Source organism: Homo sapiens, chromosome 1, assembly GCF_000001405.40.
Source record: "Homo sapiens chromosome 1, GRCh38.p14 Primary Assembly".
NCBI lineage: Eukaryota > Metazoa > Chordata > Mammalia > Primates > Hominidae > Homo > Homo sapiens.
In genome coordinates, this window is record NC_000001.11 from 156,642,117 (window position 1) to 156,666,886 (window position 24,770).

The following is a 24,770-nucleotide window of genomic DNA, read 5'->3' on the forward strand; positions in this document are numbered from 1 at the left end:
CTCTTCCGAATGTCCTGCGGCCCCAGCCTCTCCTCACGCTCGCGCAGTCTCCGCCGCAGTCTCAGCTGCAGCTGCAGGACTGAGCCGTGCACCCGGAGGAGACCCCCGGAGGAGGCGACAAACTTCGCAGTGCCGCGACCCAACCCCAGCCCTGGGTAGGTGAGTGCCTCCGCAGCCCCGCCGCCCGCCGTGGGGTCGGGGACAGGGAGAAGGGAGTGCCTGCCTGGTCTGCGCCCCCCGCCTGTCAGCCCTTGCCTCGAGGCTCTGGGGCACCCAACTCGTCGACTCCTGACACCGCAGCGGGGTAGGCTGCTGGACAGCCCCGAGCGCCTGCAGCTGCTGCTGCCATCTCTGATCTACATGCTTCCAGCTCTGCCAGTGGCAGCCCCCCTGCTGCTCGCAGTCTGATCAGCAACCCCTCGGGTCCTCGCATCTTCCCTGCTGCGCGCTCCTGTCCCAGCGCGGCCGCCGAGATTTCCGACCTTGTCCCAGGCAGGGCGGTAGCGTTCCGGATCAGTCCTTGCCTCCGTGCCCCCACGCACAGGCAGCTCCAGGAGCAGCGGCCAGCAACCCTTCTGGGGACACCTTACTGTAGTCCGGCAGGACAGCCGATCAGAGCCGCTCTAGGGGGTGGTCGGAGTGCCCATTTCGGCTGGAATCCCAACTCGGCTCCTTGCTCTGTGACCTTGGGGTAGTTAGTTGACTTCTCTGAACCTCGGGTTCCTCATCGGTGTAATGAGCAAAACATAAACAATCTTTTTCTCACAGTTGAGGTTATCCACAGGAAGCATTTAGGAGAACTGGCTCAGGTAGACATCAGTAACTATTAGCTGGAATTCGGTTACCACTATTGCATTCCTTCCTAGCACTGCCAGGGGCCTGGGAATTCCCTCTCCCAGGTATTTCCATATCCTGTCAGGTATTCCCCCACCTATTGGAATAGCTCTGCCTACATGGTTCTAATAGGACCAAGAGATTGGCGTCAAGTCCAAGGGGCACCATTATTATCTGCATTACTTAGATTGCAGATGATGACAGTAAGATCAGGGAACAGTGTTACCCTTAGACCCACCCACAGTATTACCAGTGCCTATGTTGCTATGGCTAACTTTGCTATTTATAACAGCATCATCCACATTTCAGATTCTATACGAGAGGGATCTGCAACTGCTCGGCTGGTGTCATTGCTAATAGTATTATTAGTTTTGCTTCCAATAAAAAGGACTATTTATATGATGATTGCAATTACTTCTACAGGCCCTAAGGCCCTGCTTATATTGTGTAGGCTCATGTTGCTCCTCATGAAGCCGTTAAGGGGGTAGCAGAGAGCTTCCCTCCTGCTATAGCCAAAGCTCTGGCTTCTTGTGCCTCCCTGCTGACCCTGCTGAGTGCTGGAGCTCAGTTCCTATGGGACAGACCTTGGCTGCCGGCTGATGGGCATTCAGCATGGAGGTGGTGGGTGTTGTTAGATGTGTGTACACACGTGCATGCCTACACACACACACACACACACACACACAGAGAGAGAGAGAGAGAGAGAGAGAGAGAGAGACCTGGTCTTAACTCTCTGGGTTGGGTCTATGAAGACTGTGAGGGAGATGGACATCCCGGGTCAGACAGAAATGATGTGACAAGAGGAAAGTTTCCTGAACAGCTCAAGAAATTCAAAACAAGGGCAGAGATACAGACGCTGGAGCTGAAACAGAGAGGGGGATGTTGTGGCGTCAAGGGAACGGACCGCATGACTGCTGAGCTCTCAGGGTTAGAGTTGGAGAGGTGTGGCCTGCTCTGGAGGAAGAGAAGAGGAAGTGGAGATGAGTGGTGTGTGGGATAGAGAAGGCCACAGAACCCTGGACCCCTGGGTTCTGAGGCTGGTACCGGATGTGGGGAAGTCTGAGTTTCCTCAGGGCTCCTAGCTGCAATTGGGAGGCTGAGGCCCGAGACTGGAGAGACAGAGCTCTCTCAGAACTGCACGGGGCTACCCTCTTGGCCTCACTGGTCAGTGACTCCCATTTTTGGGGTCAAGGGTAGGTTGCCCTCCATGTTCCAGAGCAGTTAGGTCCTCATTGGCCTTAGGCCCTCTTCCCTCACTCTCCCACTGTCAGACAGAGGTGAAAGGGTGGTCCAGGGTGTTGGCCCCAAAATGACTCCAACTATATGGGTCTCTGGGCTGCCCGTCAGAGAGATGGGAGCCAGGTCTGTGAGCAGCTCCAGCTCCAGCCCAGAGAGAAGGGAGGGAGGGCACCAGAAGGGGGCCAGGCCCAGGCCCTGGCACAGCTCAGATGCATGGCAAACAGTCTTCCCAGCACCCGGTGGGCACTGGCTGCTCCTGCCCAATGGTCCCCACTCCAGCCCCAGAACAGTCCTCCCAAGCACCCCAATGCCTGGAGCTGGTCTCCGCACCTCTAATCTGGCCCCATCAAGAACCTCCTCCCTCTGAAAGGTCAGAGAGAGGCCCTAAGCATCTGGTTGTGCCACTCCTCTCCCAACTCTGACCCTAGGGAATGATATCCAGACACAGTGGGGGAGATGGGGGTTATGATGGCAGGGAGGTGGGAGGATCTGGGAAAAGTAGGAAATTTCCCATCATCTCAGGCTTAGGAAAGTGCAGGGACAGGTATGAAGGCAGATGCTGAGAGGGCAGGGAAGATGGGGGATAAACAGTGGGCCTGGAATGGGAGTGCACAGCCAGTGGAATAAACCTGATCTCTAGGAAGTCCTGCCTGTAGTCTAACCTTCAATTCTCTTGCTGCATCATTGGCCTATTCCATGGCATACCTGGATCTCCATGCTCTTCTAAGTTTAGCCCAACCCTTAAAGATGATGTAGCTCTGAGTCTTCTCTCCTGGGAGCACATTGCCCTCGTGCCTGACTTGGCTTTACTAGGGATCCAGGGTCAGCCCTATCCTTCTCTGAGCCTCAGTCTCCATTTCTCAATGTCACAACACATCCTTTTTATGAGAGTGTAAGTGCTTCGAGATCTTTGGAGGAATATTCTGGGTTCTAGAGCTTCTGATAGCCAGGGGTAGGAAGGGGTAGCCCCTCCCATTTATTCTCCCCCCCCTTAGTCCACCCTCCAGCCCAAGGCTTTCACAAAAGGTAGGGTGGGGGAAGGGAGGGGCTGGATAGAGGCCAGACTGGCAGAGACAGGGGCTTTGTCCCAACTGATTTCTGAGCCAAGAGTTCCGGTGGGAAAGCCCGTGCCAGGCAGAAAGGAGAGGCTGGGAAGAAGAAGGGAGGAGGCAGCCAAGGAAGGGGGATGGAGAATGTTGGGGAGTAAAGAGAGGAGTTTCCTTACAAATAATGGTGGGGAGGAAGTAGAGGAGAGGGTGGGCTCAGGAGAAGCTGTGCTTACTTGCGTTCGGTCTAGGAGGCCCTCCTGGAAAAGGCCAGGTGAGTATGGTGTCCCTGGAGGCAGGGACAGTCTAGAAGGCAGAAGAGGCTAAAGAGATACTATGGGAGAAGGCTCTGGGTTCGAGGAAGGAGTCTGGCACTGGGAGGAGCAGATGGAATTCTGAGTATAAGAGCACCCACCATTCATGCTGTAAACTGAGCTCCTACTGTCTGCCTGGTGCTATGCATTTGTACAGGAGTTTTAAGATACTAAACACTCTCAAAGCACATGGTCCTATCTCAACTCATGAGATAGTAATGATGATGCTTTTTTATAAGTAAGAAAATAAAGGCTCAGAGAAGGTAAGGAGCTTGGCTTAGGTCACACAGTGAGTTGACTAGGACTCGGGTTTTGGTTCTGAGAAGAAATCACTTGCTGGGAAGATGGGGATCAGAAACAGAGAGTCCATGGTGATGTGAAGGTAGGGGACTTCTGGAGCCAGGATATGTGTGAACCCACATGGGTGTGGTAGGGAGCAGGGGGGAAGTCCATCCTGAAGTCTAACCCCATCTTTCCTTCTCATGTCCCTCTGTCAGCCTGCAGCATGGCCCAGCTGTTCCTGCCCCTGCTGGCAGCCCTGGTCCTGGCCCAGGCTCCTGCAGCTTTAGCAGATGTTCTGGAAGGAGACAGCTCAGGTAAGCAACCCCACTTGGGGTCACCGTCTCTGTCTTGTTCAGCCCTAACCAACTGCTTCCAGGCTTAGGGGCCCCAGGAAGAGAGAGAATTGGAGGGCTGTGGGGAAGCGTCCAGGCTGGAACACTTGGAAATAAGGGCTGAGCTGTGAGCATCTGGTGGGTTGGAGAAATCATGGGGCAGGACTAGGGAAGGGCACTGGGTGCAAGGCTTTGGGCCCCTAAGGTGGAGGATAGGGGATCCTGAAGCTAGGAGGTGGGAAAGGGGTGGAACTGGGAGAAACCCTGAAGGAGGCCCTAAAGGGAGCAGACTGGGAAACTGGGCTGGAGGACTCAGGGGGCGAGGTTGGAGGACCCTGGGGTGTGGTCTAGGAATTTTGGAGAGGAAGTGGAAGACTCTGAGAGCAGGGCAAGGAATCCTGGGGGCTGAATTGACTGGGAGACTTTGGGGGATGGGTCTGGAGACCGTCGGGGTGGTCCTGGAGGACCTAGAGGTAGGGCTGCAGGACCCTGGCCCCTGGCCCCTGGCCCCTGGTCCTAGGGGGGCCGGGGAATCCTGGGGCCGGAAGGAGGGATCCTGGAGCGGGGCTTGGAGGCCACCGGGTGGGACTCTGAGGGTCGACAGCGTTAAGTTCCAGCCGGCTCCACCCGTTCACAGAGGACCGCGCTTTTCGCGTGCGCATCGCGGGCGACGCGCCACTGCAGGGCGTGCTCGGCGGCGCCCTCACCATCCCTTGCCACGTCCACTACCTGCGGCCACCGCCGAGCCGCCGGGCTGTGCTGGGCTCTCCGCGGGTCAAGTGGACTTTCCTGTCCCGGGGCCGGGAGGCAGAGGTGCTGGTGGCGCGGGGAGTGCGCGTCAAGGTGAACGAGGCCTACCGGTTCCGCGTGGCACTGCCTGCGTACCCAGCGTCGCTCACCGACGTCTCCCTGGCGCTGAGCGAGCTGCGCCCCAACGACTCAGGTATCTATCGCTGTGAGGTCCAGCACGGCATCGATGACAGCAGCGACGCTGTGGAGGTCAAGGTCAAAGGTGAGAGGGCAGGGAGGTTCCAGAGGGAGGGAGGGAGGGAGGGAAGGGAGGACTCTTGCCTTCGGGGATCCCACAGTGTGAGAGGGAAGCAAAGGTAGCTGGAAGGCGCAGCCTGGGTTGGAAAAAGAGTGAGGAGACACGGGCCTTTGTTGTCTCCTTTCTCTCTTCAGGTGGAGGACATTCTACCCACAATCTAACTTAAGTCCCTCATGCTGTAGAGTGAGCACAATTGAACTTTATTTACCCTTGTGTACAGAGGAGTGACAAGGAGGGTGAGGGGAGGCCAGCGTGCTGGGTGCTCACCTGGCTCAGGGGTCCTCTCTGCCCCACAGGGGTCGTCTTTCTCTACCGAGAGGGCTCTGCCCGCTATGCTTTCTCCTTTTCTGGGGCCCAGGAGGCCTGTGCCCGCATTGGAGCCCACATCGCCACCCCGGAGCAGCTCTATGCCGCCTACCTTGGGGGCTATGAGCAATGTGATGCTGGCTGGCTGTCGGATCAGACCGTGAGGTGGGCAGGGGCTGTGGATTGGGGCTTCTATTGGCCCCTGAGGTGGCCATGGCCCCCCTTCTGCTGGGTGCTGCCTGCTGTGTCAGGCTGGACATGCAGGGCTTTTTGCCTCTGGGGGATGAGGCTGGTCTGAGGAGGGGAGGTGAGGACCCTGAGCATGTGCATCCCTGCAGTGCTAGAAGGACAGCCAGCTGTCAGCAAGTGTCTGCACTGTGGTGGCAGTGGGGTTCAATAGAATCAATATGGGCTGGCTCCCTGGTGAAAGCATCTGTACTAAGTGATTCTGTCCTTCCTCCCTAGGTATCCCATCCAGACCCCACGAGAGGCCTGTTACGGAGACATGGATGGCTTCCCCGGGGTCCGGAACTATGGTGTGGTGGACCCGGATGACCTCTATGATGTGTACTGTTATGCTGAAGACCTAAATGGTGATTAGGAGTGAGAGGTTCCCAGGGGACAATTTCCTACTCCCATGCTGCCCATAGGTCCTCCCGGGGCCTCTGCAGGACCTTACTATCCCTCCTGAGTTTAAGGGGGCAAGCAGGAGTAAGGAGACAATTGGTGTCCCTCTCTCCAAACACTGTCACAGAGGCAAGCTCATGACCAAAGTCTCAGCCAGGCAGCAGGATACCGAGTTTAACTCATCTACCACCTGCCAGGTGGACTCTGTGCATGACTCTGCAGAACAAGAAGTTTGGGCCCCATCTCTTTGAGCTCTAATATCCATCTTGAGGTTCTATTCAGACTATGATCCTATGAAGTAGAGTAGTTGACTCCCTGCCACAGATGAGGGAACTGGAGAAGCTTGCCCAGGGTTCCCATGGGAGACCAGAGTGGAAGGAGCTACCAGCTGCCTGATAACCCAGCCTTCTCTTCTCCACCCAGGAGAACTGTTCCTGGGTGACCCTCCAGAGAAGCTGACATTGGAGGAAGCACGGGCGTACTGCCAGGAGCGGGGTGCAGAGATTGCCACCACGGGCCAACTGTATGCAGCCTGGGATGGTGGCCTGGACCACTGCAGCCCAGGGTGGCTAGCTGATGGCAGTGTGCGCTACCCCATCGTCACACCCAGCCAGCGCTGTGGTGGGGGCTTGCCTGGTGTCAAGACTCTCTTCCTCTTCCCCAACCAGACTGGCTTCCCCAATAAGCACAGCCGCTTCAACGTCTACTGCTTCCGAGGTGAGCCCACCTCCCTGCAGAAGCTGAGACCAATCTCAGAAAGGCAGAGTTGAGTCCTAAAAGTCCTACCCCAGTCTGATCAGTTTAGCTCAGGGCTTTGCCATTTGCCTGAAGTGGTCGTGGGTGAAGTCCAGCTTGTCATCTAGGGTTCTAATTCTGGGCATGCCCTCTGGTGTGGTGTCTGTCAGCTGTTTGGCCCAAGGAGTAGTCACCTTTTGGCCTCTCCTTATCTGCCTTCCCACCAGTAGTCCATGCCTTGTTTGCTCCAGCTGGGCTGCTGAATAAGCTCCCATCTCCTGTCAGCTTATTGGCAGAGCAAAGACGACCAACATTCTGTGAATTCAATGAGTAATCTGCCCAAGTTCTTCCAGTCAACAACCAAATGCCCTCAGGAGCCCTCTGGAGGATTTCCAGAAACTACAGCTTAAGAAGGTGTCAGATCTTTAACTACCAAATACTGGTGGATGGATACAATTCCCCCAAAAGGGAGCAAGACCTTAAGTACAGTTGGGAATAGAGATAGCTTTCTGCCCACATCTTATGGCTTGTTTCTTTTTTTGAGACAGGGTCTCACTCCGTCCCCCAGGCTGGAGTGCAGTGGTGTGATCATGGTTCATTGTAGCCTCAACCTCCCTGGGCTCAGGGGATCCTTCCACTTCAACCTCCGGAGTAGGTGGGACCACAGGCTTATGCCACCATGTCTAGCAAATTTTTGTAATTTTTGTAGAGATGGGGTTTCACCACATGCCCAGGCTGGTCTTGAACTCCTGAGCTCAAGCAATCTACCTATCTTGGACTCCCGAAGTGCTGGGATTTATAGGTGTGAGCCACTGCACCCAAACCTGCCCATATCTTATGTTGGGAGCTGGAGCGGGAGGCAGTTTCTGGGACTCTCAGATGCAAAAGGCCCAGGCCAAGGGTGACCGACAATAAGAGAGGCATTGCCATGCGGTGTCTCGGTCCTTCCCCAGTTTTAAGCCTGAAATACTGTTACAAGAGCTGGAAGCAGAAATGGAAGGAGCAGACACAGCCTTGAACCTCAGGGAGCACTTGGTCTGAAGGATGAAGACACAGCTTTTGCCATGGGAACCCCCAGCAAAGGGAAGACAAGATGCCTCACTCCCAGGATGAGGAGAGACTGAGAGAAAAGCATTACTTCCATTTGGACAGATCTGTGGACATATTTGGCTGGGGTTGGGGAGGGGTGGGGAAGTAAAAGTCCATAGGAAGACAGGTCCATCTGAAAAGACCTCCTGGAACAGGGGTAGTAGTAGTAGTAGTAGTAGTAGTAATAATAATAATAGTAATAGCTAAAACTTCTGTGTGCTGGCTATGATTGTGTGCCAAGCCAAGCACTGTTTTGGAAAGAAATGGCCTGGATCATGAGGAGGGGCAGGGGAGGGGGAATATGACTACAGTTGGGACTACGATTGGTGGAGGACACAGGCAGCAAGGACACAAGGTCTGGTGAGGAGTAAGGCTCACTGGAGCAGGTGATGAGGGCAGGGACTCACTGTCCTGTCTTGCCTGGCTGAGCACAGACAGCCCTCAGGACTTTTCTTAGCCCAATTCCACCTTCACTTCATTGGTTTTCTGCTCTTGGCTCCCTTCCCCAGAGGACAAGTAAACCATTCTAAACTTCTGGTTATTTGAAAGGAGTAGGTCCCAGAAGGAGGTGGCCTTTTCCCTTGCCTACTTGCCCCACCACTGAGATCCTCAGGTGATGCCTGAAGTTATTCCTGCACTCTGCCCTCCAGCTATCCTGAGGGGATGACAGCCTCTCCCCTTCTATTTCAAGAATTTTGGAGGCTCGGTGCAGTGGCTCATGCCTGTAATCCCAGCACTTTGGGAGGCCAAGACCACTTGAGGCCAGGAGTTCGAGATCAGCCTGGCAAACACGGGGAAACCCTGTCTCTACTAAAAATACAAAAATTAGCCAGTTACGGTGGCACATGCCTGTAGTCCCAGCTACTTGGGAGGCTGAGACGGGAGAACCGCTTGAATCCAGGAGGCGAAGGTTGCAATGAGCTGGGATCGTGCCACTGCACTCCAGCCTGGGTGACAGAAGGAGACTCTGTCTAAAAAATAAAAGAATTTGGGGATACCTGGGACACCTCACACCTTGCCCCAAGCCCAAGATCACAAGGTGGTAAAGCTATTTCATCCATCCTGCTGGCTCCAGCCCCTCCCCCTAGGGAATATCTCTCACCTGAGCCTTTCCTGACCACTCCAAAGTAGTATTTTCCATCACTCCATCTTCTAACTCTGCTCAAGTGTTCTTTATCTTGTAAGATTATAATATATGTTTGTTTGTCATCTGTTCTAGAATATAATTTCCCTTGAGGGTAGGAGGTTTGCTATTTTGTTCTGCACTGTATCCTCAGTGCCCAGGGGAATGCTTGGCATGACACACTGTAGGCACTTGATGAATGCTTGAGAAATGAGTGACGAAGTTCTGGGATGCTCCCTGGGCCCCAGTAGGTGCTCCACAGGGAAGATGTGAGAGAATTGAGAGAATTCCATGGTGCAAGCTGTGACCTGGGAGGGCAGAGCTACCTATTCAGGCTCGCATCAATACTTTCCTCCTGCCACAGACTCGGCCCAGCCTTCTGCCATCCCTGAGGCCTCCAACCCAGCCTCCAACCCAGCCTCTGATGGACTAGAGGCTATCGTCACAGTGACAGAGACCCTGGAGGAACTGCAGCTGCCTCAGGAAGCCACAGAGAGTGAATCCCGTGGGGCCATCTACTCCATCCCCATCATGGAGGACGGAGGAGGTGGAAGCTCCACTCCAGAAGACCCAGCAGAGGCCCCTAGGACGCTCCTAGGTAAGTCGGATCCCTTATCCTAAGGATGTCTTGATTGAAAGAAGTTGGGGGCAGAAGAGGCAAGCCCAGGTTGATGCTAGGGTGATGGATGACATGACTCTGCCCTGTCCTTTCTCAGTAGCTCAGGGGTGCAGGGCACCTTTCCTGTCCCTCTCCCAACCTTTGCTTTTCCAGTAAATTCCACCCCCAACTCTATGGAGCTAGAGATGCTTGCACTAAGGAGCTGCGCCCTGGAAAGGTGGAACCTGCCTTCTTTGGTCCCTCTTCCGCCTCACACACCCAAAACAGACTAGAGTTTTGACAGAGTAGGAGGGAGACAAATGACCATGTTCTCCGGGGCTAATGATGGCTCACAGAGCCTTCTCAAGTGTTGCCTCAACAATATGGCTGGGGTCAAGTTCTTCCAGTGTGGCGCAAGGACCACCTGTCCTCAGGGCGGTCTCTTCCCTATTCCCCAGGGCTCACCCTCCTGAGCCCTACTTTTCTCCCCTTCCCTTTTTCCTTTCGGTCCTTGGACAGACGCTGTCCCTGGTGCTGAACCGTTTGTGCTTTGCCTAGAATTTGAAACACAATCCATGGTACCGCCCACGGGGTTCTCAGAAGAGGAAGGTAAGGCATTGGAGGAAGAAGAGAAATATGAAGATGAAGAAGAGAAAGAGGAGGAAGAAGAAGAGGAGGAGGTGGAGGATGAGGCTCTGTGGGCATGGCCCAGCGAGCTCAGCAGCCCGGGCCCTGAGGCCTCTCTCCCCACTGAGCCAGCAGCCCAGGAGGAGTCACTCTCCCAGGCGCCAGCAAGGGCAGTCCTGCAGCCTGGTGCATCACCACTTCCTGATGGAGAGTCAGAAGCTTCCAGGCCTCCAAGGGTCCATGGACCACCTACTGAGACTCTGCCCACTCCCAGGGAGAGGAACCTAGCATCCCCATCACCTTCCACTCTGGTTGAGGCAAGAGAGGTGGGGGAGGCAACTGGTGGTCCTGAGCTATCTGGGGTCCCTCGAGGAGAGAGCGAGGAGACAGGAAGCTCCGAGGGTGCCCCTTCCCTGCTTCCAGCCACACGGGCCCCTGAGGGTACCAGGGAGCTGGAGGCCCCCTCTGAAGATAATTCTGGAAGAACTGCCCCAGCAGGGACCTCAGTGCAGGCCCAGCCAGTGCTGCCCACTGACAGCGCCAGCCGAGGTGGAGTGGCCGTGGTCCCCGCATCAGGTAATTCTGCCCAAGGCTCAACTGCCCTCTCTATCCTACTCCTTTTCTTCCCCCTGCAGCTCTGGGTCACCTGACCTGTAGTCCTTTAACCCACCATCATCCCAAACTCTCCTGTCCTTTGCCTTCATTCTCTTACCCACCTCTACCTATGGGTCTCCAATCTCGGATATCCACCTTGTGGGTATCTCAGCTCTCCGCGTCTTTACCCTGTGATCCCAGCCCCGCCACTGACCATCTGTGACCCTTCCCTGCCATTGGGCCCTCCACCTGTGGCTCACATCTCGCCAGCCCCACAGAGCATCCTCAGGCCTCTCCAAGGGTCCTCATCACCTATTGCAGCCTTCAGGGCTCGGCCTATTTTCCACTACTCCCTTCATCCGCCTGTGTGCCGTCCCCTTTAGCTGCCTCCTATTGATCTCAGGGAAGCCTGGGAGTCCCTTCTCACCCCTCAACCTCCGGAGTCCAGGAGAACCCGTACCCCCACAGAGCCTTAAGCAACTACTTCTGTGAAGTATTTTTTGACTGTTTCATGGAAAACAAGCCTTGGAAATAAATCTCTATTAAACCGCTTTGTAACCAAGCTCTGGTACCCTCTGTCTCCATCTCCTGCTGTCCACCTCTCTCATTCCATGGGTCTGTGTCATGGGGAGCACTTGGATGCTTCTTCTCTGGCTCCATGTCTCTCCCTGTCTCTGTGTGTGTCTTGGCCTCTCTTCCTTTTTCATTTTCGGCTTCTCCCCTTGTCTGTCCTGGCAGTCTAACAGCCCCTCATTGTTCCCCCAGCCTCTCCTTCTCAGGCCTGTCTACACTTTCCTTCCTGGCTGCTAAGATCCCAAAATTTGACTGTACACATTACCCCTGGAGAAGTCATCATCCATAGTCTGAGGCAGTGCTGGGAGTTGTAGTCCCTCACTCCTGATGAGGAGAAACCCCTGCAGCCCGGAGTGCATGTGTTGTGCATTTATATTCACTTCCAATCCATCTTGGTGGTGCCAAGGGTCATAGTAACTGAGGGAACTGAGGGTCTCTCAGCATAGAGGCAGTTCCCTGGCATTCAGTTGCCCTCACCCCCATCCCCTAGCCCTGCATCTCAGCAGGGGGTGGTATCTAACTCTCATCCCACTACCTACAACTTCCGTCTTCTCCACTAACTCCTGCACTAATGATCATTCCCTACTCTCCAGAAGGAATGGCTTCACCCTCCCCAGACCCAAAGGGTCTCAAAGTACCTAATGCTGGAGAAGACACTGATCAAAAGCAAGTGATGGAGAGTGTGAAGGAAGGAATCAGGTTCTGGGGTCTGAGAGAAGCCCTCTCTACTCAGGAAGGCTAAGATTCCCAGTGGAGGTTCCTGGAGAAGGCTGGGATTCCCTTAGCCCTAGGACCCCCATGTTAGATGGATCACATCCTGAGTCCCACCCAGGCTTACCCATGTCAACTGTTAGGTCCCTGCACAACTGGCCTTGGAGTTCAGCCCTGTGGGGGATAGGGAGGGGGTTTGGTGGGAAGAGGAGCACAATTGGAGGTATCTACAGTGTCTTAGTTTCCCCACCGGGAGGGTAAGTGAGAGGTCTCCTTGGCTGCTGTTTCAATGGAAAGAAAGGGAAAACTTTCTGGTTGTGTAGAATAGTTGTCCCCAAAAAGGGAGAGGGAAAATGACAAGAAGAAGAGTTCTTCACCCGACTCTGCCTGCGCTGGGTTCAGGTTCTGTAGCCCACAGCCAGGGGGAGGGGCCTATGGCTTGGGTAGGGGACCAAAGACCAAGTTTGAGAGCCTCTGTCCCCCAGGGTTGGAGGGTTGAATGGGAAGGAGCAGAAAGGACAACAGGAGGGACAGGAAAGTGTGAGGAGTGGGAGGGGAGTTCAGAATTCTACCCTCTGTGGGGCCTGGTGCTTAATGGGTTAAATGAAATACCTCTTCCTCTGGGGTTGGGAGGTGGGCAGCACCACAAGCTGGGAAGAAACTATTGGCAGGAGGGAAGATGACAGAAGGAGTGCTGCTGGAAAAGCTGATTCATTTCACCCAAAACAGCTAGGTCATCCCAGCAAAATTCTTTGAATCCACTCCAGCTTCTCCTCTCTCCACCCCTACTGATTCCCACCAGGCAGTGGGACCTGTGGCCAGGCCAGCGGGAAGCACTGTGGACCTTGGCCATGGCTTCTAGAGGTGGATGGTAAAGTCTGAAGGGTTCTGCCCTGGAGTGGTTTTGCCTCTCATGGCTGAGGGCCTTGACCTTACCATGGCTGAGGGCCATGACCTACACAGTTGGTCTGTGGAGCCATCTTCCTTTGGGTCATCTGAACCAGAAAGGATTGGAAACTGACAGCTCCTGTAGCACCCAAGCACATCCTAAGGACAGCCACCTCCTACCCCAGGATACAGAGAGAAAAAGTCCAGTAAAGCAGATGGCCTAGCCAGATGGAGCTAGATCCAGGCAACAGATTGCAGACCTTCAGGGCAGTGTGTTAGTCTAAGAGGACTGCCTGGAGGAGAGGGAGCCAGAAGGAGGGATTGAGATGGATTCTAGGTTGGAGAACCTGCAGAAGGCCCAAAGTGGAGTTGGGAGAGGGAGCCTGGTAAGTGGAAGAGTCTGTGGATATAAGAAGGGGAAGTGAGAGGTTGGGTGATATTGAGAGAAAGCTGCATGTGTGAGGCCAGTCAGCACTGCAGGACAATGGGAGCTGCTGCGACTTAGTTCCTAAGCTGGGGGAGAAGGGGCAGGGCCTAGAGTGAGGAAAGTGGGCTGGATCTCCACTAACCACTTCTGGGACTGGCTGACTGCCCAGTGGACAGCAGGAGGAATGGTTAGTATTCACCTGGACCACACCAATATCAGGTCTCAGGAGCAGTCAAGGGATACCACCCTCCACTGTTGCTGCGGTAATCCTTCTGTCCCCTCCTTCACTTCCATTCATTCCACCTGGACTATACAGAACTGTGCTGGGACCTGGCACAAAGACAAGGGGGTGTGGCACTAAACTCCAAGCCTAGAGAAGGAAAATGACCTGCCCAATATCACACAGAAGCCAGATAAGAGTTTAGAGCTATAACTTTCTGTGCCCAGTATCTTTCTCCATTGTGGGGCTGGGTTCTCAGGGCTCTCCTAGCCTCTTCTCCCCAGCCCCTTTTGGGCTGGGCTCACACTGGTGGCCATAACAATGGAAGGCTGAGCCAATGCTGAAGTCGGGAGCGGGAAGAGGAAAGAAACCCAGAACTCAGGGCTGGGTTGTGACCAGAGACAGGCTCTAGGGAGAACTTTTAGGGTGCTGTTATAGCTTCCAGGACAGAGAGACCAGGGCTGGGGGACCCTCTGCACCCTCTCCTGGAGGGCTCAGGCTGCAGAGTGCGGCTGCCTCGCTCCCCCCGCCTCACTTCTTTCCCCCTCTCAGGTGACTGTGTCCCCAGCCCCTGCCACAATGGTGGGACATGCTTGGAGGAGGAGGAAGGGGTCCGCTGCCTATGTCTGCCTGGCTATGGGGGGGACCTGTGCGATGTTGGTGAGTGTTGAGGGACGGGGGGCAGGTTTGAAGCCTGGACCCTGCCACAACGTGCTACTTCTGGAGGGGGGAGGGAGAACATTGGTTTTGGCCTTGTCATTAATGAGTCCCTGTTTTAGGCAAGTTGCATAACTTCTTTGAGTCCTACCCTCAATTTTCTTATCTAAGTGAAACCACAATGCCTCTCATAGGGGGTCCATTTGAGACCAGTGCAAAGCATACTCCTGGCATTTAATCGGTGGTCAATACATGACAGGCTCCATTCTCCTGGAGAGGAGAGCCACTGCTCGTTAGGATGGAGACCCAGGCCGGAACTCCATCCCTCACCCTGGTTCCTGTCTCTTAGAAAAGGCACCAGCGCCCCTGCCCAAGAGCCCCTCCAGGCTCCTGCTACCCCCTCATTCTCTACTAGCTCTTTTGCACCGCCCTCCTGTCCCCCTTAGTCCCGCCCCTCTCGGCCTGCGGTAGTGGAAGGAGACCAGCCCCTTCCAGGGGACCTGGCCCTCTGGGTTTTGGGGCCCTAAGATGCCCGCCCTTATGTGCCGCAGGCCTCCGCTTCTGCAACCCCGGCTGGGACGCCTTCCAGGGCGCCTGCTACAAGCACTTTTCCACACGAAGGAGCTGGGAGGAGGCAGAGACCCAGTGCCGGATGTACGGCGCGCATCTGGCCAGCATCAGCACACCCGAGGAACAGGACTTCATCAACAGTGGGCTGGGAGACAGGGCGGGAGGGGCCCCTGCCATATGCTCTCACTCTCTCTCACTCGCCTAACCGCCTTCCTCATTAACCCATGCACTTATTCCTTGGTTTTCTCAAGCGTGCATTCCCTCACTCATTCGTTCACTCCCCTTCTCATTCTCTCTCCCTTCCCACCCTACGCTTAGGCAGTGGCCTTCGGGAACGGAGAGTGGAGGTTCGCGCAGTAGAGTGCGCCTGTGTGGGCCGGGCCGCCGTGCAGGGGGCCGCCTCCAATCCCTCCAACCTCCCTGCTCTCCGACCTCCGTCGGCCTCCTCCAACTCCAACTCCAATCTTGTTGAAAGTTTTGACTCTTTTTCCAAAACTCCCCTTTTCTAGCCTGGGTTGATATCTTCCTTATTCTCCCACCCCCATTCCCCTGCTTTCCATCTGGCCCTTGAGCAGAGGCTGGGGTAGAAGAACCCGACAAGGGCGGGTGCTGGATCGCGGGGAAGGGTTTCCAAGGCAGTCACCGCAGACCGCCCGGGAGCGGGGAACGGCCGCCATCTGCTGGCGGCTGCGCTCACTGCACGCCTTCGTCTCCCTAGACCGGTACCGGGAGTACCAGTGGATCGGACTCAACGACAGGACCATCGAAGGCGACTTCTTGTGGTCGGATGGCGTCCCCCTGGTGAGAGGCCCCAGTCGAACCCCGCCGTCTAGCTCACTTCCTCTAAGCACTTCTGTTCCCTACCACCCCCACCCCTCCCGACCCTGTCCCCTTCTTTTTCCGGCCTCCTTCCCTTTCTCGTGCCCTGTGCCTCTTCTCCCTGGGCTCTCCTCCCTTCGTTGTGTCCTCTTTCTTCCCTTCTGGCTCCCATTCTCCCTCCCCTAAAGTCCCTGCCCTCTCCTTTCCCCTTCCCCGGGAGATCCCCTACCCCCTAGCCCTAACCTTCCCTCTCCTGGGGCCCCGCTCACCAGCCCTCCTCCCCAGATCCTCTAGGCCCTCTCCCGGTGCTCCTGGTGTAGGAGCTCCTCACCACCTCCTCCGTTCCCCCAGCTCTATGAGAACTGGAACCCTGGGCAGCCTGACAGCTACTTCCTGTCTGGAGAGAACTGCGTGGTCATGGTGTGGCATGATCAGGGACAATGGAGTGACGTGCCCTGCAACTACCACCTGTCCTACACCTGCAAGATGGGGCTGGGTGAGGGCAGGCAAAGGAGGGTCCCAGCAAGGAAGTGGAGGGGTGGGCTAGGGGACCAGAGGGACTGATGTTTGTAGACAGAGAGTGCAAAGCAACATAGAGGAGTCAGAACGTGTTCCAGACCATGGGAGAGCTAACAAGTTACGTGGGTCCACTCGGAATCCCTGATCTTTTTTTGTCATGTTGTGGCCCATTTTTCTCTTCCCCATGGAGATTCTGGGAACTGTCACCCACAGAGCCAGGCTCAGTTCCTAACTGTCTTCCTTTGCAGTGTCCTGTGGGCCGCCACCGGAGCTGCCCCTGGCTCAAGTGTTCGGCCGCCCACGGCTGCGCTATGAGGTGGACACTGTGCTTCGCTACCGGTGCCGGGAAGGACTGGCCCAGCGCAATCTGCCGCTGATCCGATGCCAAGAGAACGGTCGTTGGGAGGCCCCCCAGATCTCCTGTGTGCCCAGAAGACCTGTGAGTGCCAGGAAGAGGCAGGTGGGAGTGGGAGACAGTAGCCAACAGTAGCCTTGGACTCCACTTAAAGTCCTGCCTGTCACTGGCCATGTGACCTTGGAGCCATCACTGCCCCTCTCTGAGGCAAAGGGGAAGAGGTGGGCTGGAGGCTCTGGGGTTCCTTCAGTGCTGATGTCTGATAACATGCAGCCCCATTCTGGGCTCTTACGGGCTGAGCAAGAACATCAGAGGGCAGGCTCTGAGGAGAGGAGAAGGAAGAGCCAGGGTGGAGGGTGAGTGTGTGTCTTCCCCAGGCCCGAGCTCTGCACCCAGAGGAGGACCCAGAAGGACGTCAGGGGAGGCTACTGGGACGCTGGAAGGCGCTGTTGATCCCCCCTTCCAGCCCCATGCCAGGTCCCTAGGGGGCAAGGCCTTGAACACTGCCGGCCACAGCACTGCCCTGTCACCCAAATTTTCCCTCACACCCTGCGCTCCCGCCACCACAGGAAGTGACAACATGACGAGGGGTGGTACTGGAGTCCAGGTGACAGTTCCTGAAGGGGCTTCTGGGAAATACCTAGGAGGCTCCAGCCCAGCCCAGGCCCTCTCCCCCTACCCTGGGCACCAGATCTTCCATCAGGGCCGGAGTAAATCCCTAAGTGCCTCAACTGCCCTCTCCCTGGCAGCCATCTTGTCCCCTCTATTCCTCTAGGGAGCACTGTGCCCACTCTTTCTGGGTTTTCCAAGGGAATGGGCTTGCAGGATGGAGTGTCTGTAAAATCAACAGGAAATAAAACTGTGTATGAGCCCAGGCAAGTTGGATGCTTCTGTGTGTATGTCCGTGACAGACAGAGAGAGGTGTGGTTGGGCAGGGCATCATAGGATATATAGAGCTTCGGGGTTTATTCGCTTCCAAAGGTCAGAGACGTCCCCAAGATGTCAGCAAGTAGAACAGTGCCAGAATAGCTGCCAGGAAGTACTTATGGAATGAAGGAAGGCACAGGGGTTGGGGGACAGCTGGAGTGATGCAGCATGTTTGCAAAGAGATGGAGTGCCCTGAGTGCCTAAGAGTCAAGTGAACGTCAATGAGTTCTGTCCTGGGAGGGAGAAGGGCTGGGGTCCCAGAGAGGAAGGCAGAGGTTGGTGCCTTGGTGTCCCAGTTCTGAGCTTCCGGAAGGGCCGGCCTTCCCTCATGGGGGTGTGAGAGTGAGGGTGATGGGAGAGCTCCGCTGGCACTGCAGCATGTCTGGGGGTTAGGCCGCAGGAAGGTTTACGTCCAGCAGAGGAGGCAGAGATGCAAGAAATAGGGAAACAAACTAAGGGCCAAGGGGAGGTTCCCAGCCCTGCGGTGGACTGGGCTTCGGGGAACGAACTGGGGGCCCGCACAGGCAGCGGCCAGCAGAGGGCGCCGCGGACCCAGCACGGTGCTCTGAGAGTGCCGTGTACGCGTGCGCCGGTGGAGACGGGCAGAGGGGTGCGAGGAGCCCCAGGATCCCGCTAGGGGGCGCCGCGGACTTGCGTCCTGAGGAGGCGGGAGGGGAAGGGGGGTGGCTGGCTATGTGGGGGGGTTAGACTTCCGGCCAGGCTGATCTGGCCCTGGGGGCTGTGAGTCAGCGGAGGTTGAGAGGATGAGGTCACTCAGAGAACTGGAGAGTGACCCAGCGCCCGCGTGTGCCTGTGTGTGTGTGTGTGTGTACGCGTGCGTGTGTGTACGCGCATGCGTGTGTGTGAGTGTGCACCCTTCTCCCAGTGCACAGAATTGTTGGTGAAGTGCATGTCAGGATGCAGTCTGTCCTCATGATGAGGATGAATCATTGCTGCAGATCCTCAGGCACACACGGTCACACATAGGCACACACGTGCACACTGTCGTGTGTACACACTCCTGCATGTGCCCACTTAGTTACAGCACATCACCCACATGGGCAATACTTATTCCTTCTCTGAAGCCAGTAAAATCCAGAGACAGGGAGACAGATCCGGAGGAGCAAAGGCTGATAGTAATACGGGGAGACCCAGAGATAGTGGGCAAGACAGGCAGACACAAGTTCAATACAGCTCTGTGTTGGTGGGAGCTGGGGCTCTCCTAGGCCATCCCTGCCCAGCTCCTGGGCCTTCCCCACCCTATTTCTAAACTTGAAACCAGCTGGTCTCTGATATACCAGTGTGACCTCCCACACCCACCTACCACCACATTCCTCCCTCACCCCAGGCCTCACCTCCCCCACCTTCTGCCCCCCACACAACTCTGCCCTGCGTGGCTAGGGAGCAGGGGCTTCTGTTTCTTAAGGAGCTATAGGGAAGAGGATGATTCTGGGGCCAGAGTAGATCCTCACTGTATCCTGTATTACCCTGTGATTGTCCAGTCAATGCATTTTTAGGGCTCTCGGGGGCATTTAGGTGGAACTGTGAGTGGATGAAGATCAAGGTGGGCCTTTGAAAGTAGGGCCTGAAGAGGAGAAGGCTGGGGAGGGGCAGTGTCTGTCCCTGGGCTCTTACGGGAGGTTCCCTGAGGTGGAGTTTAGATAGTATATTGGATTCCCCAGAGAGCCCATGGTGGTGAGCTGGAAGGGGCTTTGGTTTCCCATCAAGGCATTCTCACCAACTCTCCCCAAGAGCGGCAGGAGGGCTCCATCATCTTCTCTGATGTATTGATCAGGAGAGCTCCAGAGGTAGACAGGCTGAAGCTGGAATACTGCCCTGTCCCTGACACCTGCTGGGGTGTTCTGGCGGGGCCCGGAAACGGAAGCCCTCTCCTGGCTTTGTTGGGTTTCCTGGGGAAGGCGGAGCTGGTCCACGGGTGACTCAGCGTCCTGCACAGAGTCCAACCCCTGGCCCAGTCCGTGTGTGTGTGTGTGTGTGTGTGTGTGTGTGTGTGTCCTATCCTGGCCTTGGGCAGGAGGAATTGGCCCCTCATAGAGTGTCAGCCCCATCTCTGGGGATGTGGAGTAGGGGCCACATCTGTGTCTGCCTCTGCCTCCAGGGCACAGCACTAATCTAACGATGTGCTCGCCCCTGCCAAGCCCCTGCATGTGTGGTTAAGCTCTCAGCCTCCTTCCCACGTCTAAACAGGGGTCCCTTCGCAGAGTTTTCAGTTTCCTGGGAATGAAGGAGATCAGAATGTGTATGGAGGGAAGAGACGCAGCCTGGGTGAGATTTAGGGGCTTGAACATTGCCGAGGGGCTTGGCAGCCTGATGAGATGGCCTTCCAGAGAGCCCCAACTTATCTGCCAGGGTCTCCAGCTTCCTTCCTTCCAGGCTGCTCTACCACACACCTACCTCCCCATTCCTCCCCCACACCCCCAACTCCCACAGCACTGTCCTGACCTCACTGGGGCCTTTGTCCCAGCCGTGAGGCCCTGTCTGTGGGCCTGTCTCCTGCACAGGGAAAGAAAGAGCCCCATTGTTCTGGCTGCCTGCTGTGACACAGCAGCTCCCAAAGACTTCCAAAAATGCTCAGCCCGTCAGGCTCCCGTGGGTGAGTGGACTTTCCCTGGGGGCTGCAGGCAGATCTCTGCCTGGAATGAGGGCCCAGGTGCTGTCTCTCCCAGCTGTGCAAGAGTTCTTTCAATCTGCAGACTGGAGGTCCTTCCTGAGATCTGACTTCCGCTCTGCATGCTGCAAAGCAGCCTACTTCCTCCCGAGAAGGGAGAACTGAAAAAGGCAGGGACAGAGCATGAGGAACGAAAGGAAAGGAAAGGAAGGAAAAAAGGAAGGAAAAAGAAAAGAAAGCAGGAGAAAAGGAAGAATGCGAGGAAATTCCCCCCACTGAGAGACTCTAGACTAGTTAATTGTCTGAGTGGGTGGATCTTGTGGCTTCTGTGTTTATTCCCGGATGCTTCTTCCTTAGTATTTAGAGAGCTTGCTAATGGGGAGGCTGTTGACCACAGGACTGGAGTATTTAAGGGGGCTAGGCCACAGTCCCCTGGCCCATGGGTTTTTGTTTCATTTTTTTGAGACAGGGTCTCACTTTGTTGCCCAGATTGTAGTACAGAGGCACGATCTTGACTCACTGCAACCTCTGCCTCCCAGGCTCAAGCGATTCTCGTGCCTCAGCCTCCTGAGCAGCTGGGACTACAAGGCGCATGCTACCATGCAGGCAAATTTTTGTTTCTGTTTTTGTAGGAACGAGGTTTCTCCATGTTGCCCAGGCTGGTCTCGAACTACCGGGCTCAAGCAATCCTCCTGCCTCAGCCTCCCAAAATGCTGGGACTACAGGCATAAGCCACCTCGCCTGGCCTGGCCCATGTTCTATAGACCCCAAGTGGCATCTAGGAATTCCTAGTATCATTGGCAAGGGACATCGCTCTGTGCCTCAGTTTTCCTGTCAGGGTGAACTGAAGTTCTCTCTGACATAATTTCCTGGCAAGTGAAAGGAAGAAATCCTGGAGAGACCAAAAGACTCAGAAATTGGGAAGGGGCCAGGGAGGAGGGAGGAAAGTAGGTAGAAGACAGAAGAGAGGTGAAAATGGGGAGACAGGGAAGGAGAGTTGGGTCCCTGAGTGGCAAATGTCTCTCCTTTATGAAGAAGATGGAGTCCTGAAGACCCAGGAGGGGGCCAGAGTCAGTGGAGCATTCCCGAACTGTGAAGTCTCCCAGCCACCCTTCCTGGGGCTCTGGGGCCCTGGCGCTTGCAAGCAGCTGAGACGGCAGCTGTTGGGAGGGGGGGTTCCTCGACAGAGGCCTCCTGGCACCTGCCTCGGTTTATTTCTGGAGACACAGCTGAGTCATGGGGGTGGGGAGAGTGAATGGGACTGGGGGAGGGGAGACTGTGACTAGAAGAGAAGGTTGAAGAAGGAAGAGGGCTCTAGGGCCTGGGACTCTGGGACCTAGGGTCCATCCCTTTGGGGCCAGAGCATCAAGAACAGGAGGGACATCCACATTGGAGCCCCTGGAATAATGGGGCTTGGGGAAGGCTTTGGGGAGTAGGAGGCAGGGCCTCTACCCTTGAAATGTGGGAGAAGAGACAAGCCTGATCTGGGTGTGGGAATGCTGTGTTAGAAAGACTGGGAGGCCAGTCACAGTGGCTCATACCTGTAATCTCAGCATTTGGGGAGGCCAAAGCAGGCGGATCACTTGAGCCCAGGAGTTCAAGACCAGCCTAGGCAACATAGCAAGAGCCCGTCTCTACTAAAAATATAAAAATTAGCCAGGCCTGGTGGCTTGTACCTGCAGTCCCAGCAACTTGAGAGGCTGAGGTGGGAGAATCGCTGTTGTGAGCCAAGGAGGCCAAGGCTGCCGTGAACTAGGATAGTGCCACTGCACTCCAGCCTGGGTGACAGACGAGATCTCCATCTCTTAAAAAAAAAAAAAGAAGAAGAAGAAGAAAAGAAAGAAAGCAGAAGGAGAGGGGAAAGAGGGCTCCCAGCAGGGAGGTAGATGGGAGACCCCAGTGCCATGAGAGAGGAAAGAGAGAGGGCCATGTTTTCCTCTGTGGGCCATTCTTTCTGTCCCTCTCTCTGCTTCTGAGCCAAGCCGCCCCTCCCCTCGTTCAGCCACTTGAGATTCTCATCCTAGTCTTTCTAAGGTCGGCCTGTAGATTCAGGAACAGAGTACTTGGGTCCTTTCTTCAGGCACTCGAGCTGCATTCAAGAGACATCCTGTTTTCCCACCTCCCAGGAAGACCCTCAAGTCTAACTTCCATCTGTCCTGCTGCAGGACCCATCCTGGAACTTAGCTCTCCCCTGTGGGTGGGGCTGGGGGTCCAGTTGGGACCCAGGAGCCTGTGCCCAAGCCCAGAGTCGTCTCAGGTTTCCTGGGCTTAGGTGGGCTTTTTTTCCATCCCCTCTCCCTTCCATGGGCAGCCTTAGAGAGCACATTCCAGCTGAAATTAAATCACATTCCTCTCTCCCTGCTTCATGAGGATGGCATTGCTGACAGCAGCTGTGACACCACAGGGTCAAGTGGCAGCAGCTGGTTCCCCAGGGAGGGGCTGAGAAGGGGGCAGGGAGGGAAGTGGAGGACCAGGGCCTGTCTTTGGAGGCAATAAATGAATTCTGATTCTTTGATCTCAAGAGACCAGAGAAAGAGGCATAGACCCTGCAGTGGCAGGGATCAAGGTTAGACCACAGGATGTCCTAGCTGTGTGGGGATGACCCAGTCCCAGGAAGGCCCCGTGGGGGAAGGAGGTGTCCAGCATCTCTTTCTGAGAGGACACTGGAAGAACGCGCTCTCCCCACTCCAGGGCTGGGCTCTCACACAGACATTGAGGCTGAAGGAGCCCTTTAAGAGGCCACGCTCTGCACTCCCTTGGCCAGAGCCCAATGCCTAGGTCTTTGATTTCCTCTGAGACTCTGGTGGCAGTGGCGGCAGGAGCGGCAGCAGCAGCAACGGGACAGCATCAGGCTGGGTTGAATGGAGAGCTCAGCCCCTGACCTCACCCTCTGAGGCGCCTCAGCCTGCACAGCCTTATAAGGAAGTGCCCCAAACAAACCGAGGAAGCAACCTCCGGCCCCCCACCCGGCCCCACCCCGTCCAGAAGCTATATTTACCCAGAGGAGGCCCCAGAATAACCTCCCACTTGTCCTTGCACTGATTGGAGGGGTGGGGGAGGGGGGGATACTGTCCCTCTGTGCTCCCTCCCCTGGGACTCCACCCTCAGAAGTTTGTCCCGTTGTCTGTCATGGTCATTCATTTATTTAATACGCGTTTATTCAGCACCCCCTGGGCTCCCAGGCACTGAGCTAGGCTCTGGGCGATGACCAGGACAAAGGTCTTGCTATCCCAGAAATTCCCATGATGACAACATGTCTGAGACCCCGCAGTCTCCTGGTTTTGCTCCTACTCTGGCCTCCTTTTCCAGCTCCTTCCCGGTCATCTCCTGTCTGTCAGGAGCTCCTCTGGAGCTCTGTCCAGGGCTCTCTTCATCCTGTATGCTCTCTCTGGGGAATCTCTAGGCCAGTGACCCCCTAATTCTTGTCTCCAACCTGGCCCTCTCTCCTGTGCTCCAGTTCCATGTGTCCACCCACCCCAGGCACCTCCTCCTGGAGGTCACAATTTCCTGCTGGACTCTGCTGCTCAGAAAATAGTCCTACGTCTCCCAGCTGCCCAGGCCAAAAACCTGGGACCCTCTGCTGGCCTATCCCCCTCCCTACCGTGGATTACCAAGTCCTGAGATTCCCTTTCCTCACGTGTCTCTTCTCCACCACCACTGCCACCACCACTGTCTCCTGCCTGCACTGTGGCAGGCAGGAGCCTCCCTGAAGCCCTCCTGCCCACACCAACCCGTTTCCACACAGCAGCCAGAGAGTTTGACTTGAAATGCAAACCTGGGCAGGGGGCGGTGGCTCACACCCGTAATCCCAGCACTTTGGGAGGCCGAGGCGGGCAGATCACCTGAGGTCAGGAGTTTGAGATTAACCTGGCCATCATGGTGAAACCCTGTCTCTACTATACAAAAATTAGCCGGGTGTGGTGGCAGGTGCCTGTAATCCCAGCTGCTCTGGAGGCTGAGGCAGGAGAATCTCTTGAACCTGGGAGCAGAGGTTGCAGTGAGCCAAGATCGCACCACTGCACTCCAGCCTGGGTGACAGAATGAGACTCCCGTCTCCAAACACAAACAAGCAAACAAAAAATACAAAAATTAGCTGGGCGTGGCCTCGGGCGCCTGTAATCCCAGCTACTTGGGAGGCTGAGGCAAGAGAATTGCTTGAACCCAGGAGGCAGAGGTTGGAGTAGCCAAGATTGCATCACCGCACTCCAGCCTGGGTGACAGAATGAGACTCCTTCTCAAAAAAAAAAAAAGAAACGCAAACCTGGTCAGGTCACCTCTGCTTACAACCCTTTAGAAGCTCTCACTTCAGAATTCATTCATTGCCTCCAAATACGAAGAATTCTTTGTTTCCTGCCTATCTAATGAGACCTCTGTCCCCGAACCCTGGCTCTCTCTTCAGTCTCATCATGAACTTTCTCTTCCCTCCTCCACCGTCTGGCACAGGAGCCTTCCTTCTCTTCCTCAGTTGCCCAGGCTCTCTTCCTGCCTCTGAACTTTGCACGTGCTGTTCCCTCTGACCAGAACCATTTTCCTCCCCCTCCTCCCCCACTGGCCACTCCTGCTCATCCTTCAGGTTCTCAGGAGAGCCTTCCCTGTCTACCCCCTCCCGTACACCCCCCAGCCCAGGTCAGGCGAGGTCCCCTGCACTCTGCTCCCATAACCTAGGGCACTTCTCCGTTTT

At 55.7% G+C, this 24,770-nt stretch overlaps 1 protein-coding gene and 1 long non-coding RNA gene across 5 annotated transcripts, besides 10 other annotated features; one reads left to right on the plus strand and one right to left on the minus strand.

Moving 5' to 3' along the window:
- On the plus strand, positions 1-17,412 carry BCAN (brevican). 4 transcript variants are annotated; one of them, NM_021948.5, is made up of 14 exons: positions 1-159; positions 3,931-4,029; positions 4,685-5,059; positions 5,392-5,566; positions 5,867-5,994; positions 6,452-6,745; positions 9,340-9,573; positions 10,132-10,776; positions 14,166-14,273; positions 14,822-14,980; positions 15,559-15,641; positions 16,011-16,155; positions 16,427-16,617; positions 16,911-17,412. In NM_021948.5, exons 2-14 carry the CDS (start codon positions 3,939-3,941, stop codon positions 17,016-17,018), a joined length of 2,736 nt encoding a protein of 911 aa, NP_068767.3. In that variant the 5' UTR covers positions 1-159; positions 3,931-3,938; the 3' UTR covers positions 17,019-17,412. The 4 variants fall into 4 exon arrangements, with proteins under 4 accessions (NP_068767.3, XP_011508168.1, NP_940819.1 ...); XM_011509866.1 differs by having other exon boundaries at positions 1-155; XM_017002047.2 differs by lacking the exon at positions 1-159 and adding an exon at positions 267-3,393.
- Positions 3,620-19,324, minus strand: BCAN-AS2 (BCAN antisense RNA 2). The gene is made up of 2 exons (NR_182279.1): positions 19,199-19,324; positions 3,620-5,038 (listed from the first exon to the last, which is right to left on the minus strand). It is a non-coding gene; the product is annotated as a BCAN antisense RNA 2 (long non-coding RNA).
- Positions 4,234-4,757: an enhancer, noted in NCBI's record as "H3K4me1 hESC enhancer chr1:156616142-156616665 (GRCh37/hg19 assembly coordinates)". NCBI's record gives its function as "activates a minimal SCP1, AML or CMV promoter by ChIP-STARR-seq in primed H9 embryonic stem cells {active_cell/tissue: H9 hESC(primed)}" and the evidence as "EXISTENCE:reporter gene assay evidence [ECO:0000049][PMID:30033119]".
- Positions 12,993-13,493: an enhancer, noted in NCBI's record as "H3K4me1 hESC enhancer chr1:156624901-156625401 (GRCh37/hg19 assembly coordinates)". NCBI's record gives its function as "activates a minimal SCP1, AML or CMV promoter by ChIP-STARR-seq in naive H9 embryonic stem cells {active_cell/tissue: H9 hESC(naive)}" and the evidence as "EXISTENCE:reporter gene assay evidence [ECO:0000049][PMID:30033119]".
- Positions 14,689-15,190: an enhancer, noted in NCBI's record as "H3K4me1 hESC enhancer chr1:156626597-156627098 (GRCh37/hg19 assembly coordinates)". NCBI's record gives its function as "activates a minimal SCP1, AML or CMV promoter by ChIP-STARR-seq in primed H9 embryonic stem cells {active_cell/tissue: H9 hESC(primed)}" and the evidence as "EXISTENCE:reporter gene assay evidence [ECO:0000049][PMID:30033119]".
- Positions 15,191-15,691: an enhancer, noted in NCBI's record as "H3K4me1 hESC enhancer chr1:156627099-156627599 (GRCh37/hg19 assembly coordinates)". NCBI's record gives its function as "activates a minimal SCP1, AML or CMV promoter by ChIP-STARR-seq in primed H9 embryonic stem cells {active_cell/tissue: H9 hESC(primed)}" and the evidence as "EXISTENCE:reporter gene assay evidence [ECO:0000049][PMID:30033119]".
- Positions 15,575-15,684: an enhancer, noted in NCBI's record as "active region_1875". NCBI's record gives its function as "activates an Ori minimal core promoter by ATAC-STARR-seq in GM12878 lymphoblastoid cells {active_cell/tissue: GM12878}" and the evidence as "EXISTENCE:reporter gene assay evidence [ECO:0000049][PMID:35858748]".
- Positions 16,983-17,032: a silencer, noted in NCBI's record as "silent region_1432". NCBI's record gives its function as "represses an Ori minimal core promoter by ATAC-STARR-seq in GM12878 lymphoblastoid cells {active_cell/tissue: GM12878}" and the evidence as "EXISTENCE:reporter gene assay evidence [ECO:0000049][PMID:35858748]".
- Positions 17,071-17,571: an enhancer, noted in NCBI's record as "H3K4me1 hESC enhancer chr1:156628979-156629479 (GRCh37/hg19 assembly coordinates)". NCBI's record gives its function as "activates a minimal SCP1, AML or CMV promoter by ChIP-STARR-seq in naive H9 embryonic stem cells {active_cell/tissue: H9 hESC(naive)}" and the evidence as "EXISTENCE:reporter gene assay evidence [ECO:0000049][PMID:30033119]".
- Positions 18,038-18,207: a silencer, noted in NCBI's record as "silent region_1433". NCBI's record gives its function as "represses an Ori minimal core promoter by ATAC-STARR-seq in GM12878 lymphoblastoid cells {active_cell/tissue: GM12878}" and the evidence as "EXISTENCE:reporter gene assay evidence [ECO:0000049][PMID:35858748]".
- Positions 18,341-23,376: an enhancer, noted in NCBI's record as "VISTA enhancer hs1891". NCBI's record gives its function as "enhancer in: somite[7/7] | midbrain (mesencephalon)[6/7] | limb[7/7] | branchial arch[7/7] | eye[7/7] | heart[7/7] | ear[7/7] | blood vessels[6/7]" and the evidence as "EXISTENCE:transgenic organism evidence [ECO:0001131][PMID:17130149]".
- Positions 20,271-21,086: an enhancer, noted in NCBI's record as "H3K27ac-H3K4me1 hESC enhancer chr1:156632179-156632994 (GRCh37/hg19 assembly coordinates)". NCBI's record gives its function as "activates a minimal SCP1, AML or CMV promoter by ChIP-STARR-seq in naive H9 embryonic stem cells {active_cell/tissue: H9 hESC(naive)}" and the evidence as "EXISTENCE:reporter gene assay evidence [ECO:0000049][PMID:30033119]".